The sequence below is a fragment of the Homo sapiens genome, chromosome 12 (genome assembly GCF_000001405.40).
Source record: "Homo sapiens chromosome 12, GRCh38.p14 Primary Assembly".
Taxonomy (NCBI): domain Eukaryota; kingdom Metazoa; phylum Chordata; class Mammalia; order Primates; family Hominidae; genus Homo; species Homo sapiens.
Window position 1 is genome coordinate 101,930,997 of NC_000012.12, and position 15,449 is coordinate 101,946,445.

General features: G+C 43.2%; 1 pseudogene, besides 4 other annotated features; it reads left to right on the top strand.

Annotated features, from left to right (window-relative positions):
* Nucleotides 555-674: an enhancer, noted in NCBI's record as "active region_6872". NCBI's record gives its function as "activates an Ori minimal core promoter by ATAC-STARR-seq in GM12878 lymphoblastoid cells {active_cell/tissue: GM12878}" and the evidence as "EXISTENCE:reporter gene assay evidence [ECO:0000049][PMID:35858748]".
* Nucleotides 1,035-1,144: an enhancer, noted in NCBI's record as "active region_6873". NCBI's record gives its function as "activates an Ori minimal core promoter by ATAC-STARR-seq in GM12878 lymphoblastoid cells {active_cell/tissue: GM12878}" and the evidence as "EXISTENCE:reporter gene assay evidence [ECO:0000049][PMID:35858748]".
* On the top strand, nt 5,220-5,678 carry RPL9P24 (ribosomal protein L9 pseudogene 24; annotated as a pseudogene).
* Nucleotides 5,310-5,569: an enhancer, noted in NCBI's record as "active region_6874". NCBI's record gives its function as "activates an Ori minimal core promoter by ATAC-STARR-seq in GM12878 lymphoblastoid cells {active_cell/tissue: GM12878}" and the evidence as "EXISTENCE:reporter gene assay evidence [ECO:0000049][PMID:35858748]".
* Nucleotides 8,835-9,129: an enhancer, noted in NCBI's record as "tiled region #5561; HepG2 Activating non-DNase unmatched - State 12:CtcfO". NCBI's record gives its function as "activates a minimal TATA promoter and a strong SV40 promoter by Sharpr-MPRA in HepG2 cells {active_cell/tissue: HepG2}" and the evidence as "EXISTENCE:reporter gene assay evidence [ECO:0000049][PMID:27701403]".

Consider the following 15,449-nt stretch of genomic DNA (forward strand, 5'->3'; position numbering starts at 1 on the left):
ATGGACACTTCAGTTGCTTCCACATTGTGAATAATGCTGCTACAAACATGTGTGTACAAATATTTCTTTGAGACCCTGCTTTAAATTCTTCTGGGTATATACCAAGAAGTGGGATTGCTGGATCATATGGAAATTCTATTTTTAATTTTTTGAGGAACCACCATACTGTTTTCCATAGCAGCTGTACCATTTTACAGTCCCACCAACAGTGCACAAGGATTCTAATTTCTTCACATCCTCGCCAACATTTGTTTTTTCCTATTTATTTATTTATTTGAGATTTGAGGGTCTTGGTATGTTACCCACGCTGGCCTCCAATTCCTTGGCTCAAGAGATCCTCATGCCTCAGCCTCTAAAGTAGCTGGGATTACAGGCACAAACCATAGCACCTGACATATTTTCCATTTTTTTGGTTAGTAGCCTTCCTAATGGGTGTGAGGTGATATCTCATAGTATTTTGGTTTGCATTTCCCTAAGAATTAATGATGTTGGTCATTTTTTCATGTGCTTATTGGTCACCTATATATCTTCTTTGGAGAAACATCTGTTCAGTTCGTTTTTGAATTGGGTTGTTTTCCTCAGTCCTCAGTCTTGTCACATGTATGGATGTGATATCAGATCAGCAGCATGTAAGTTAGTCTTCTTGGAGCTGAAGCAGCAGCAGGAAGTGGTGAGGACTCTGGCTCCTGGGTTCCAGCTCTCTTGCTCTCCCTTGCTCATCAGGCTAATATCAGCATGAGTGACAGGAAAGCCTGGAAGACTAACTTCACCTTCTTTAACAATCCTTTTACTCAGGGTCAGCCCAGAGTAGCAGGTTCTGGGTGCCACCTAAGACATCTGATTTAAGGTGAAGAGTGATGTATTTAGAATTGGCCAGTGCTTTGACAGCTGCAAACATAACCTTTAACACGCATATTAAAATGAATACTGAGCTTAGTTCAGTCTTTCATTTCCTTTTAATACTTGAAAAGCTACAGTTTTGTTTTAAAGTTCTCTTAAAAGGCTCTAGCAGGTGAATTTATTCTTCTGCTTGATTGCATTTGGACCCTTAAATAACAGCCACCTTGAAACTGAAACCGGGAAAACCCCAGGTCTCTGGCCAGAAGAAGCAAAGGTATGTTCTGAGATTTATTAAATAATTACCTACTTGTTGAAATGTTGTAGGCAGGAGAAAAAAGCTGAGATGTTGGCAAATATGAGTAGAGATTAGGAAGGATCTTGAGTCATGAGGCTTTTAAATGTGGTGGAACATTTTGGTGTTACTGACCTTTGACTCAGGACAGTTGAACCAAGCGATGTGGTCTTCAGACTCAACCTGGCCGTGGCTTGGTATATCTTTATATTGACTGTCTCAATGACCGCAGTCAACTGTGATCCAGTTGTTTGGAGCATTCACAGCAATGACTTGAAGGGAAGAGAATAAGGAGTGAGAAACAAAACTCGGAATTCGTTGGCCTTTGTGACAGCCCGTCTGCAGTTGGTCTGAATAGCACATAGGGAAGGTTTCCTAATGTAGTACATTGCTCTGAAACTAATTTGATTCAGAGCGCCAGGGAGGGAGGATGTTTTCACTTGGTGATACCTTCCATCAGTGTTCCAAACTTCAGCCATCTGTGCTTCTTTTGAAATTTCTTGTCATGCTGTGTACCAAAATTTACTTAATACTTTGCAATGGCTCCTTAACTTAAATATTTTTATTTTAAAGAGAAACTTCTCCTACTGCTTTGTCTCCTGGATTGCCTAGGTTGGTCAATGATATTACCATCTGTTGGGTCACCCAGGGCAGAAACATGAGCATTATCCTAGACATCTCACTTTGCTCAAAGCCCACACCCCATGTTCTATTAACATTGTCTCCTGGCCGGGTGTGGTGGCTCACACTTGTAATCCCAGCACTTTTGGAGGCCCACTCCGGTGGATCATTTGAGGTCAGGAGTTCAAGACCAGCCTGGCCAACATAGTGAAACCCTGTCTCTACTAAAAATACAAAAATTAGCCGTCGTGGTGGCACACACCTCTAATCCCAACTACTCGGGAGGCTGAGGCAGGAAAATCACTTGAACCCTGGAGGCGGAGGTTGCATTGAGCGGAGATTGCACCACTGCACTCCAGCCTGGGCGACAGAGTGAGGGAGACTCCGTCTCAAAGAAAAAAAAGAAAAGGCTCCTATGTACAGTATGAATAGATAATTATCATCCAAATTAGGGCATTTTGGGGGGCAAATGGGACACTACTAATAATCATACCCAGGGTAAACTGTCTGAAGCAAATGGGGATGTATGGTCAACCCGTCCATATGGTCTTGAATCCTCTTCCCATTACATTCTCCCTGCTATTACTGCCTTAGTTCAGGCCTTCAAAATTATTTGCTTAGACTAGTGTAGTAGCTTGCTACGGTTTCCTTGACTTCAATCTTGGTCCTTTCCAACGTATCTTACACACTGCACATAAACATTTGATCTATCACCCTTTTCAGACCTTTCAGTATCTGCCTGTAATGTCATGATACATTTCAAATTTCTTAGTGTGGCTTATGAGGTTCCTCACAGATCTGGTTCCTTCTAGCCTTCCAGGCTGTTTGCTCGTTTATCTATTGCTCTATTCACATTTATTGTCACTGTGGGTAGTACAATGTTAGGCTCCAGGAATATAATAATAAGATGAGTTTTTGCCCTCAAGATATTTATAGTGCAGTAGAGAAACAGTCAAGGGGATGCTGTAGCAATATGTACCATGGCAAAGCACCACAACCTATGGCTTCACTATTCAGGGTGTTGTTCAGGGACCAGCAGCATGACTATCACTTGGGAGCTCTGTAGAAATGCAGAATCTAAGTCCTAGGGCAGTAGCTCAAATCTCTAATCTCAGCTTTGGGAGGCTGAGGTGGGAGTATCACTTCAGGCCAAGAAATTGAGGACTGCCTGGGCAACACACCAAGACCCCATCTCTCAAAAAAAAAAAAAAAATTAGCTGGTGCGGTGGCACACATCTGTAGTCCTAGTTACTTGAGAGTTAAGGCAGCAGAATGGATGGCTTGAGCCCAGGAGTTTGAGGCTTCAGTGAGCTATGATTGCACCACTGTGCTCCAGCCTGGGCAACAAAGTGAGACGCTGTGTCTGAAGAAAGAAAGAAATGCAGAATCTTAGTGCCCCGAGCCAGACTCAGTAAATGCGAATCTGCATTTTAACAAGATCCCTAGGTGATTGGAATGAATGTCAGCTTTTGAAGTCCTGGTCTATGGGACCACACTAGTTGAAGCACTTGATTCAGATCCCCAGGAGAGGTCATGCCTGGCAAGAGACTTAGAGAAGAAGATGGAGTTTGCTAAATGAAGGCGAGGAGGGAAGAGGCACATGTCCTGGACAAATTGGCATGTGCTTTGGCACACAGGCAAAAGAGGATGTGCTGTTTGGGGGAAGTTACAAGTTGTTCCATATTTTGGGAACAAATTGCTGATGGTGGCCTCACTTAGCTCAGACATGCCATCAATTCAAGGAAAAAGTTTGATCAAATTTGATACCTCCATCTCATATTTGAGCCAATCCTGAAACATAGTGATTAAGAATGAGTACTTTGATTCATAAAGAAAAAGCAGAATAGAAGTTACTAGGGGCTGGGGACAGGGGGAGATGGGGAATTATTGCTTAATGGACAAGAGTTTCTGTTTGGGATGGTGAAAAATTCCTGGAAATGGATAGTTGTACAACATTGTGAATACCATGAAATTGTAAATACTTTAAAATGATTAAAGTGGTACATTTTATGTTATGTATATTTTATCATAATTTTTTTAAAGAATAAGTACTTTGGAATCAAGACCTAATTTTCAAGACCTACCATTTCCTTTCTGTCACGCCTCAGTCAAGTCAGATAACGTCTTGGTGTCTCAGTACCCTTATCTGTAAAGTGGGAATAATGCTAGCACCTGCCTTGTAGGCTTGTCACGAGGATTCCTTGAAGCAATGCCTGTAAAGCACCTGGGAACTTGTTGGTGATCCTTATGCCTGCCCATTGAAGCTTGAAATGCCCAGCCTTAGCAGTTTGCCTGGCACAGCCAGAGCTGTGCATGGCAGATGCTGTTATAGCCCTTCCACCTCCCTCTCGACTGCATACCCTCAACTGTCTTCTCCCTGTACAGCAGCAGTTTTCAACTCTGGCTGCACATGAGAATCACCTGGAGAGTTTTTTTTTAAAACCCTGTTGCCTGGAGCAATTAAATCAGAATTTCAGGAAGTCAGATGGAAGCATTATTATTTCAGGTGATTTCAGTGTGCAGCCAAGGCTGAGAAACACGGTTCTGCTGTAGCGGTTTGCTAACTTTAGTGTGCATCAGAATCACCTGGAGGGTTTGTTAAAACACAGTTTCTGGGACCTGCCCCAGAGTTTTCCATTTAGTGGATACAAAACAACTCACCTGCTTTATTCCACCATCTATGTGGCTGCTCTTTGCTTTTGTTTGCCATCTATATCGTTTTACCCTCTTCCTAATAACCTCTTCCAGACCCATTACTGAAATCTTTGTTGAAAAGATTTGCCAATAGGCATCTTCATGCCAATGGTGTCTATATTCTCAAACCTGTTCCAGCTTTAGACGCAGTTGACTATGTCTCAAAATTCTCCTCCTTTGAATTCAGAGCTGCCACTCTTGGAGTTTTCCTCATTTCTCTTTCCTTCTCCCTCCTCTGCTTGGAACTCGGGACTCCCATGACCATTCTTTAGGTCCCTATTTTATCCCTTAAAAAGAGCACAGTCTTAAGTGTGAGAAAGATGTGGGTTTATGTCTTGTACCTGGGCAATTCAATCAAACTCTGAGCCTCATTTTTCTCACTGGTAAGTCATGGGTGATGATAATAGCACCCCTATAAATAATACATCCCTGACACATAACACTCAACTGTAGCTATTACACTGTTTCACCTTTAAAAACATTGCAAAATCTTGACCTCAGAGAGAATTCCAGGGGTGGTGGGACTAGCCCAAGGGATGCAAAGGGGAGAGCTGGGAATACAGAAAACACAGCGTGGAGGAATGAAGCCAGGATTTACCAAAAGCAAGGAGATAGTCCCAGGAATTTTCCAGGAGACCTAGGCAGACAGGGAAGTGACTAATGGGATCAGATAATAGGAACTGACCAAGAGACTCCCTATGACGGCATTAAAAGGTGGGCCTGACGAACACAGGGAGGGTGTTATTAACGGCACTAGGATGGGCTATGGAATGGCCCCAGAGGAAACCCACAAGGGGATTTCAACCCCATCAGTGTGGAACTCAGTCACTTTGGCAGGAAACAAAGTGAGAAGGAACCTGTTACAGTTTGCACCATCTATTATAGTCGATGCAAAACATGACTGTGGGGTGTTACACAGAGCTCTCATTACAAGATAAGGTCTCTGCGTGTCATTTCCCGTCAATGATGTTATTCAGCAGGATGGCTCACATGTTGAAACTTGAAACTCCTTGGGTGAAAAAAAAAATCCCTCTGCAGGCTATACCAGATGTTGCTTGTTGTAGCTCCTCAGGCCCAAAAAGATGAGTTAATCCTTGAAGGAAATTATTTTGAACTTGCATCAAACTCAGAGGCTTTGATCCAACAGGCCATGGCAATTGAAAACAAGGCTATCAGAAGAGCTGTGGGTGGTAGTCCTGTCTCTGAGAAAGGAACAGGGCCACTGGCTGACGGCTGCATTCCAGAACGCCTCCAGATGCAGAGGGCCTCACTTAGTGTGATGTTGTGAAAATACTGCACTTTAAACACATGTAGTCATAAACAAAGCTTCCTCACCCTTTAAAGACCTCACAGAAGTATCTCTCCAAGACGCTTCTCCTCTCCTGAATGCTCCAGGCCTTGCTGACCTCAGTTACCTTGAAGTTTCTCTTACCCTCATCACCCATGGCACACAGTTTAACACTTATTATTCTCCAAATACATAGTCTCCTTTCTCCAGTTATATGGTGAGTTCCTAGACATCCTAAACCCATAATATTTGATATTCCTCTGTCTCTCTGAATGCCTAGCATTCTAAGAGGAACATAACTTAAAAAGCGTCATGTTCCCCTTTGCATCCCTGAAATCTAGCACAGCACCTGGCATGTAACAGACACTCAATAAGCAAATAGGTGCTTATTAAATGAGTGGAATTGTTGATTGATAGCTAAGTTGAGTTGGCATGAAAAGGTAGATAAGGGAAGTTTTAGCAGGCATCTCTTATATTGTTTACCAAGTACCTCCCTCCTCTCCTTCCAGAAGTTTCCCTTACCCAATCCCATCTTTGTAGCTGCCACAGGAGTTGATGCAACCTGCTTCAGTGAGTTATTTTTTGAGACGTTTTGACTTGGAACCAGAGACAATGTTAAGATAGTGTCTTCCTAGGGACCAGATCTATGTGGATGTACTGGTAAATTTAGGTGCTATTGGCGCCCTTGTTTTTCACTGCACAGAGAAGGCTCATCTCTAGCTGGAGTGAAGAATGAAGCTAATGAAGAGATTAAGTGGAACCACAGAAACAAGAAGAATCAAACAGAACCTTGCTAGTGTTCACGGCAGTCACATTATCTCTTAATACCCTTCCCACTCCTTTTGCCTAAATGAATTAGAATTAGGTCTCTGTCACTTGTAACCACACAAGTCCTAACTACTATAGAAGACTGTCTACTATTATTGCATGGTAGATAATAAAAAAGACGGGATGAATAAAATCTCATGATACCAAGCAATGAAGTCTTGCAAACAGGAATTTTTCAAAACTTCTCATGCTCATTTGTGGCTTTAATAAGCACCTTTTCACCACCCCTCCCAGAGCTGGTGTAGTACCAGATATAGAGGAAGCACACAGCATACCTGATGCTACAGTTTCTGGTAGCTTGGGTCTTCACTTTTCATTTTCAACAACTTTTTTCCTTGTGTGCATTTGTTGAGACGTTCAGATGCCTGGGGCTGCAATACCATCTATGCATAATGAAAAACATTCATAAAGACTTTCTAAAGTACACAAAGGGTGATGGGCTTTCTGAACAGCAGCCATGGACTTACACCAAAATATAGTCTCCATGAGCAAAGGCAGTGGGAAAGAGCCTTTGCACAGTTCCATGGTAGAGAAGATGGTTATAAAGACTGAGTGGTGTTCACATTATCTGAACCTCAAACTCAGGCACATAGCATATGAGGGAACTTATGGAAACAACGGGACAGCTTGTCTGATGTTGGGAAACCATCTTGGCATCGCTGGTTACCATATTTATAGAGCTAATCTTTAGCATCAAGACCTACTCTAGACAGGCTAATTTACTTACTGCCACCCAAGTGGCCCATGTTGGTTTTATCCTTGGCATATGCCACAAGTTCTGAGTGTCAAATATTTCTTCCTCCCTTTATCTGTTTTCCATTCACATCCTACCCATTCTCCAGGTCCAACTTTCTTACCTCCTCCAGAAACCACTGTTCTGTCTAATCTGCCACACCTGGCATTTCGTTATTCATTCTAAGAATGGCAAATACATGTCATATAAGCACGTACCCACTCTCCACACATCCGTGACAGACATCACTAATTGATGGTGGTGCTTTTTCCTTGTGTAGCTGGCAAAACCCTCAGAATTCTTCCCAACACAGCACTGGAGGCAGCCACTAAAGGCTGATTGGAGTTCTGTGAAGCCTAGTTGCTGTCTCTGATCTATCTATTCCCTTATATCGCTATTTAAAGTTTCTGAGCGTGCTTGTCTTCTTTCTCCAGCTGAGCTAAGTCCCTGAGGGCAGGGACCATGCCTCAATAATCCTAACAATAACAATCCTAACAACAATAACAGCAGTGGCAAATATTCATTGAGTACTTATATGTGCTGGCACTGTGCTGGCCATTTAACATGTATTATCTAATGGAATCCTCAACAATTCCTCTGGAGGGGGTATTATTACCCCCACTTTATAGATGGGGAGTCTGGGTCTTAGAAGATGATAAGCAACTTGTCCAATTATACAGTCAGGATGTAGCAGAACCAGAACTTGACCCCCAAATATTTTCTTTTATCCAAAGTAGTGCATTATCTTGACCTCCTCTGTATCTGTGCATAGTAGGTGCTTAATGCAAATTTGTTGAATAGGAGCTTTTTAGAAAGCAATGAAGTTCTTCACAAGAGACAGAAAGAAATTGAATTGAAAATACCGGAAGCAAATTCTCTTCCCCAAGAAGTTAGAACATTCTTGAAAAAAGGTTTACTAAACTTTTCCAACATCCTTGGCTAAAGGCAACACCATTCCCCATTCCACAAGTAAACACGCTTTATGGATACAGAAATACTAAAGGCCAACTCCAATGAATGGGAGGGATCCTGGTGAGGAAGTGGCCTGGGAGCCTCCTGACAGGGGCCTTGCAGTGTCTACTACCACCCAGTCACTGGCACCTCCCTGGGCCTCAGTTTCCAGACTTCTAGAACGATTCATTTGGACTTGATTAGCACTTCCCAAGTGTGTTCCCTGGAATATTGGCCCTGCAAGAAATTCATATAAAAAGCGGTTCTGTTGTCAAAAGCACGATTGGGAAATTGCCTTTCCCTTGGGAGAGACACAGTCCATATTAAATGCTCTGAGAAGGCCAGCAGGAAAGAAGCTCCTTATTTAATGTTACTTAATTCTTATTTAACCCAGCATTTCCTAACCCTCTTTGGTTTCACATAATAACAGCAAATATCTCTCATAACTAATCCCATACTTGGTAAAACAAAACAAAACAGAACAGAACAAAACACACAATTGGCTGAATAGATTCTAAGGACCTTCCCTCACATTCTGTAAGTTTATGAAATAATAATATAAGTTGACTATAAACTTCCCCTCAGTGAATTAAAGGTGGAGTCACAATTTTGGATTTTTGAGATGCATCCAAAAGGTTTAAAGCGTTTTAAGATAAGGAACCAAAAGTTTAGTAGTTCATGCTGCCTGGTTATTTTCGCAATATGAACAACAGGGGGCACCAGGGGACTGTAGTATGGCCACCCCTCCACAAACTCAGCAAGAAAGGGCAAACCAAAGTTGTAGCAAACGGAGGGAGGGATTTCAGCAATTCCTTTTCTAGCTGAATGGAAAGCTACTGAGAGCAATTTGGGTTTCTCTCTGGCTTTCTGTTGGAGGAATACAATGAGATAGAATCAGGATAGGTTAACATCTTTCTTTTGCTCATTCCCTTTATAGATAGAAAATCACATAAAGCAACTCTTTTCAACAACTGCTTGTCAATGGTTTGTTTCCACCTTGGGGCAACTACATTCCACTGTGGAAGTTCTTATTGAAGAAACATAGCGCCTATGAGTTGAGAAATGAGTGGTTCTTTCCTTCACCAGCTTTCTCATTTTAAAGGGGGAATAAATTGCACATGTGAGGAAAAGAACAAACTTCTTTAGGACATAAGTTCTTTGTAATTTAAATTTTTTCTCTAGACTTTGGGCTCAAGACTTATACAATAAGACTCTTTTTAATGATGTGGCAGGCTATAAAAGGATTGGAGGCAATTGAGAGAGAAGAGGAGAGGAGGGAAGGGGAGAGGAGGGGAAGGGAGGGGAGAGGAGGGAAGGGAAAGGGAGGGAAAGGGAGGGGAAGGGAGGGGAGGGGAGAGGAGGGGAGAGGAGGTTATTACCAGCGAATACTGCCCCTACACAGAGCCTCCCACGTATGTGGATATATCACATAGCTTTTTCTCACTTATCATGTCTTTATTGTTCTCTTGTGAAGTAGAACAAGACAGACAGGTCTCCCTATCCAAGCCAAACACAAGAGACTTACAGAGCCAAACACAAGAGACTTAAGGTAATTGTCAGCAGCAAATGCTCAGGTTGGTTATTTTTTTCTCTGTATCTTCCCTTATTACCCGCCAACACAGCCCCTACGCAGAGCCTCCCACGTAGGAGAAGACTTTACATATACTTTTAAAATGTTTTCCTCAAGAGAAAGAGAAAACAAGATCCAGGAATATAGCCCACAGAAACCAGCAAAGGACAGAGGAATCACTCTCCACCCATAGCAATCACCAGCTCAGAGAAACTCTGAGTTTGGAGAGTCTTTTGCATTCACCTAATTTCATCCTTGCATTATGTACAGGAGAGGACCAGGGAGTCATGCAGAGAGGTACCAGCCCGGCCAGTCCGGGAGCTTCTAGACAATTGTTCCCCAAAGCAATGCCCTTCCCACCGCCCTGTGCTGGACCCCAGTCTCAAGCCCTTAAGAGACTTCAGGTGCTTATCTCTGCAGGCAGCAAAGTGCAGGAGCAATAGCCACATCCCATCCTAATTCTACACACTGCAGTGTGCGACTTGTTTTTGACAATCCCATTCTTGTCCCAGTGAGAACAATGGAGAAAATAGCATGTAAGGGGATATTGCTAGACCAGCAAACAAAATGCATTTGTCTGTCTGATTTGTGATCCATTTCTACTATTCACCTCTCAAAGAAATGCTGGGAAGAGCTTGGAAGCTAGCAATTAAGCAGTTCAAACTCTTTGGAAAGTTTCTAGTGCCTTAGAATTCCAGGAAGTGCTGAATCATAGAGTCGCAGAATAGGAAAAGATTTGTAAGACAAGAATAAAATGAATATTTATTGAACACCTCCCATATTATTGGATATATTTTGTCTCAACCTCACAGTCACTCTCAGAGGCGGGTGTACTGTGATCTCCTGTTAGAGGAGGAAACTGAGGGTCAGAGTGGTTAATTGGAACTGGTAAGCTAGGATTTGAACTTAGGTCTATTTGGACTGAAGAAACAACTACTCAGAAGTATTATGCTATTACTTTCTTTGTTCTCACTTCCTCTTTCTTACTGGAGGATGCTCAGTTCATAACCTCTATCTGTGAAAGATACTTCCCCCTCTACTATCTTCAGATTATCTTCTTAGAGATAGAAACATTCTACAACCACATTTGTATCTGCCTTTCACAACTATTATAGTAAACAAGTTCTTCCTAGCATCTAACTTAAATCCCCCCAATACACTGAGAGCCACCAGCTCTGCCCTCAGGGAACATGAAACATGGCTAGAACATTCCAGTTAGCAGCAGCTTCCCAGTCTTGGTTCCAAACTGCTTCTGTTAAAAGAATCACCAATTCAAAACACATGCACTGTCATGAACCCTCGCCCCAATCCAGATGCTCCACTCCTTGGGCCCCTTTAAGGGTGAACATGAATATCACTCAGGCTCAGGCCCTGTTATCCAGATGCCATCAAGAGGGATCAAGGCTTTCCTTCTATCTCCATTTCCGAGCTAAGCCTAGATTGGACCTCCTTTTTCAAAGTACATTCTAGGACTACCATTTTATGTGATCAAATAAAGGGCCTATTTATATCTGAGCTGTGTCAGGGATGAGTAAACAAAATTCTTCCACTGGGAATTTGGGCACCTTCTATATTCTATGACTCTTTTTTTGTTTTTTGAAACAGAGTCCTGCTTTGTCACCCAGCTTGGAGTGCAGTGGTGTGATCTTAGCTTACTGCAACCTCCGCCTCCCAGGTTCAAATGATTCTCATGCTTCAGCTGCCCAAGTAGCTTGGATTACAGGAATGTGCCAACACACCCAGCTAATTGTTTTGTATTTTTAGTAGAGATGGGGTTTCACCATGTTGGCCAAGCTGGTCTTGAACTCCTGGCCTCAAGTGATCCGCCTGTCTCAGCCTCCCAATAAGATTACAGGTATGAGCCACACTGCCCAGCCCACCTTCTGTGTTTCTTTACTAACAGAAAAATGTAGCCCTTTGCAAAAGTGCATGCATGCAGCATGATAGAGAATATCTTTCAGTCTTGCTCCTTTAGGGGTATATCTTTATTCTTTATGTATTTAATAGCTGATTTCAATAATAGCTCATGTTCAATGAGTGCGTACTATGTGCTGGGCTTTCCATGTTTTAAGCTTTACATGTTTTAGCTCATTCTTAGCAATTCCAGGAAGTAGATGCTGTCTTTAGCATTTTGGTTTTTTTTTTTTTTTTTGGGAAGCAGGGTCTCACTCTGTCTTCCAGGCTGGAGTGCAGTGGCGCAATCTTGGCTCATTGCAACCTCCATCTCCCAGGTTCAAGCTGCTCACCTCAGCCTCCCAAGTACCTGGGACTGTAGGTGTGTGCCACCATGCCTGCCTAATTTTTGTGCTTTTTTGGTAGAGATGGGGTTTCACCATGTTGGCCAGGCTGGAGCATTTTGATTTTACAATTGAGGCAAAGAAGGGAAGCAAATTGCGTAAGGCTGCCAGGTAATAAGTGACTGAACCTGGCCAATCTAATTCCAGAATACATGCTCCTGAGCACTCTGTTAGTTAGTATTCATTTTGGCTGTGATAGCAGAACCCAAAACAACAGTGGTTTAAATTAAATGGAAGTTTATTTCTCTTAGGTAGAAGTCCAGAGGTTAGTCCAAACTAGATAGTCCAAAACTAGACTAGAAGCTCAACTCCACACAGTGCTCAGGGCTCCAGGCTCCTTCTCTATTCCAGTACTCCTAATGTGTAGTTTCATCCCCAACATCCAAAATAGATGCTAGAACTTCAGCCATCTCATCAGTATTCCAAGCAGCAGGATGAAAGAAGAGACAGGATAGAAAAGGGATGAAACACATGCCAGTTGTTTACTATGGACTGTTCCTGGATGCAGCCATGTGACATTTCTGCTTACATCCCACTGATCATAGTAGCAAGAGGGCTGGGGGTAGTTGTTATTCTAGGTGGCTTTGTGACTGGTTATAAAGTAGAGGATTTTATTACTGAAAGAAGGAGAGGAGTAATCAGAGGCTAGATGGGTATATGGAGGGGTAGAGGGAGATGTAGCTGGAGAAAGGGGCAGGGCCTGGGTGATGAGAACTTACCAAGACCCTACATTTCCCCACTCTAATCTTTGGGTTCATTTTCCATTCCAGCAGGTACCAAGGGAAGGCAGGGCCATCCCTTGAAAACCATCAGTTTTGACTGCTGCCTGACCCCCTGAAGCTCTGTAATCAGCACTCCTAGAACACAACTCAGGTGTCCACCTTGGTGGTAAACTTTAGGCAGGTTCCAGCCTGGGACCATCAGTTCATTGGGTTCAAATGGAGGTGGGTGGCTTCTGATTGGTGTCTCCAGAAAGCCCCAAAAGGGAAGGTGGTGTGGGGGAGGAGGACACTGTGATGGGCCACAGCCTCAGAGTGGCTTTTGCCTCTGAACCTCCAGAGCGAGCCTGGAAACCAGCCACGAGAGAGTAACTTCATGGTTTCCAAAGCTCCTTTGCATATGCTATTTCCCTTGAAACATACAAGATTGTGATAGGGCTTGCTCTGCTCCCTGTTTTGCCAGTGAGGAAAAAGGAGTCAGAATCCTCCTGTAATTTTCAGTAGGATAAGGTGAGGTCTCAGAATCTGTCTTTTCACAGGGGTGCCAGGAGATTCTTATGTTTAAAAAACTTTGGGAAACACCAAGCTCAGGGTGGCAAGTGATATAGGAGGGCCACATCTTAGGGGACAGATAAATCACAAGACTGTAGACTCTGTGATGAATAAATGCCCTAATTTATTTTTGTTCTGTTTTGTTTTGTTTTGCGACAGTCTCACACTGTCGCCCAGGCTGGAGTGCAATGGCGTGATCTCGGCTCACTGCAACCTCTGCCTCCTGGGTTCGAACAATTCTCCTGTCTCAGCCTCCCGAGTAGCTGGGATTACAGGCACCCACCACCATGCCCAGCTAATTTTTATATTTTTTAGTAGAGACGGAGTTTCACCGTGTTGGCCAGGCTGGTCTCGAACTCCTGACTTCGTGATCTGCCCGCCTCGGCCTCCCAAACTGCTGGGATTACAAGTGTGAGCCACCATGCCCAGCCAAAATGCTCTAATTTATAACCAGTCACAAAGCCATCTAGAATAACAGCTAACCCAGCCCTCTTGCTACTATGATCAGTGGGATGTAAGCAGAAATGCCACATGGCTGCATCCAGGAACAGTCCACAGTAAACAACAGGGACGTGTTTCATCCCTTTTCTATCCTGTCCCTTTGAGTTATACCTGTCGTCGTCACTGCTCTGTCTCTGTACCTGGCACACTGTAGATACTCAATACATATTTGTTGAAAGGATGAATAAAGACAAGCTTAGATATTCAGACTTTTAGATCCTACTTCCTCTAGTGCCATGGAAGAATCCTAGAAGGAGCTCACATTTTATTATGCTTGCCACCGCAAGATGAGAGATAAGTACTACTAAAACTCATTTTACAGATGTTAAACACTGGGGTTAAATGACTTGCCCAGGGTCACACAAACCCTAAGTGGTAGAACCAGGATTTAAACTCATGTTCTTCAACATGATGCTCTTTTGTTTCTTTAATATGGATCAACTATTTATTCCATTGCAATAGATTTACCATAGCTCAAATCATTCCCTGGGAAACAGAAAGTCTATTCTATAGCTTTTTCATATAACAAGTAACCTAATACACAGATGTGAGCCCTGTCACTTGACACCGCCCATGTTATAGAAAAGTTCCACTCTGCCTCACAGACTATTTGCTCGCATTGAGGTGCCAAACTGGATTGGCGGAGAGGAGCGTATATTGAACTTGAATGTTTACTTTACTCGTGAGCACACACATCTGTTTTTGTTTATGGGGATGGCGGCAATCAGAGCGAGCTCTCCTCAGCAGACATTCTTGACAGTGGATTTCTCTCCCAGTCTGAGAAGTTTTATTATCTCTGAGGCTGGCAAGCAGGCTGTCAGTTTAGACCGTGCCCTTTTGAACCCAGAGGCTTCTGGGCTCTTCTGTTCTTTCCAAAGAGGCATTATTACTTCAGGGCTGAACTGAATCTTAAGGAGATGTGAGATTTTGTGGTGGAGTAACTACATCCACGGGACCTCACATAGACCTGGAAGAGTGAAACAGTTCTAAAAGCCCCTCTCTTATCCATTGACAAATTCAAAGTACAAGAGCTGAGCCCTTATCTGTTCTACTTTCTTAGGGGCCCTCATTCCTCTGCCCTCTTTTGCATCCATTGCCCCAGCTCTTGCACGTGCGGCAGAGGGGAGGTTGCCCGCATGGGGAATAGTTTCTGTTTCCTTCCTTTGTTGACATACCTTTAGGGAAGGCATAATGCACACAGATTGCACTGGCACGTGTTGTCTCGTAACGTGTTTGGTATTAGTAGCCTTCAGGTGGTTTCTGGCTAGTTCTTCCTCTGTCTTAGATGCAGACTGGCCCCTGCACTGTCTTAACACAGAGGCAGGTTTGGATAGTTGGTGGTGGGTTGCATGAGGACTTGGCTTTTTCACTCAGCTACTTTCCTTGAAAGAAGAGTTAAAAGCAGCACTTTATGTTCCTTGGATACAAGCAACTATGACTGGGTTTTTCCATCTGTCCTGTCACCCCAAGTGATGAGACCAGTAGTCAATTCATTGGCTGGCAGAAGGTACATCCTGTGGCACTTTATGTAAGTGAAGCTTTTTCAAAGAGCAGGATATGAAA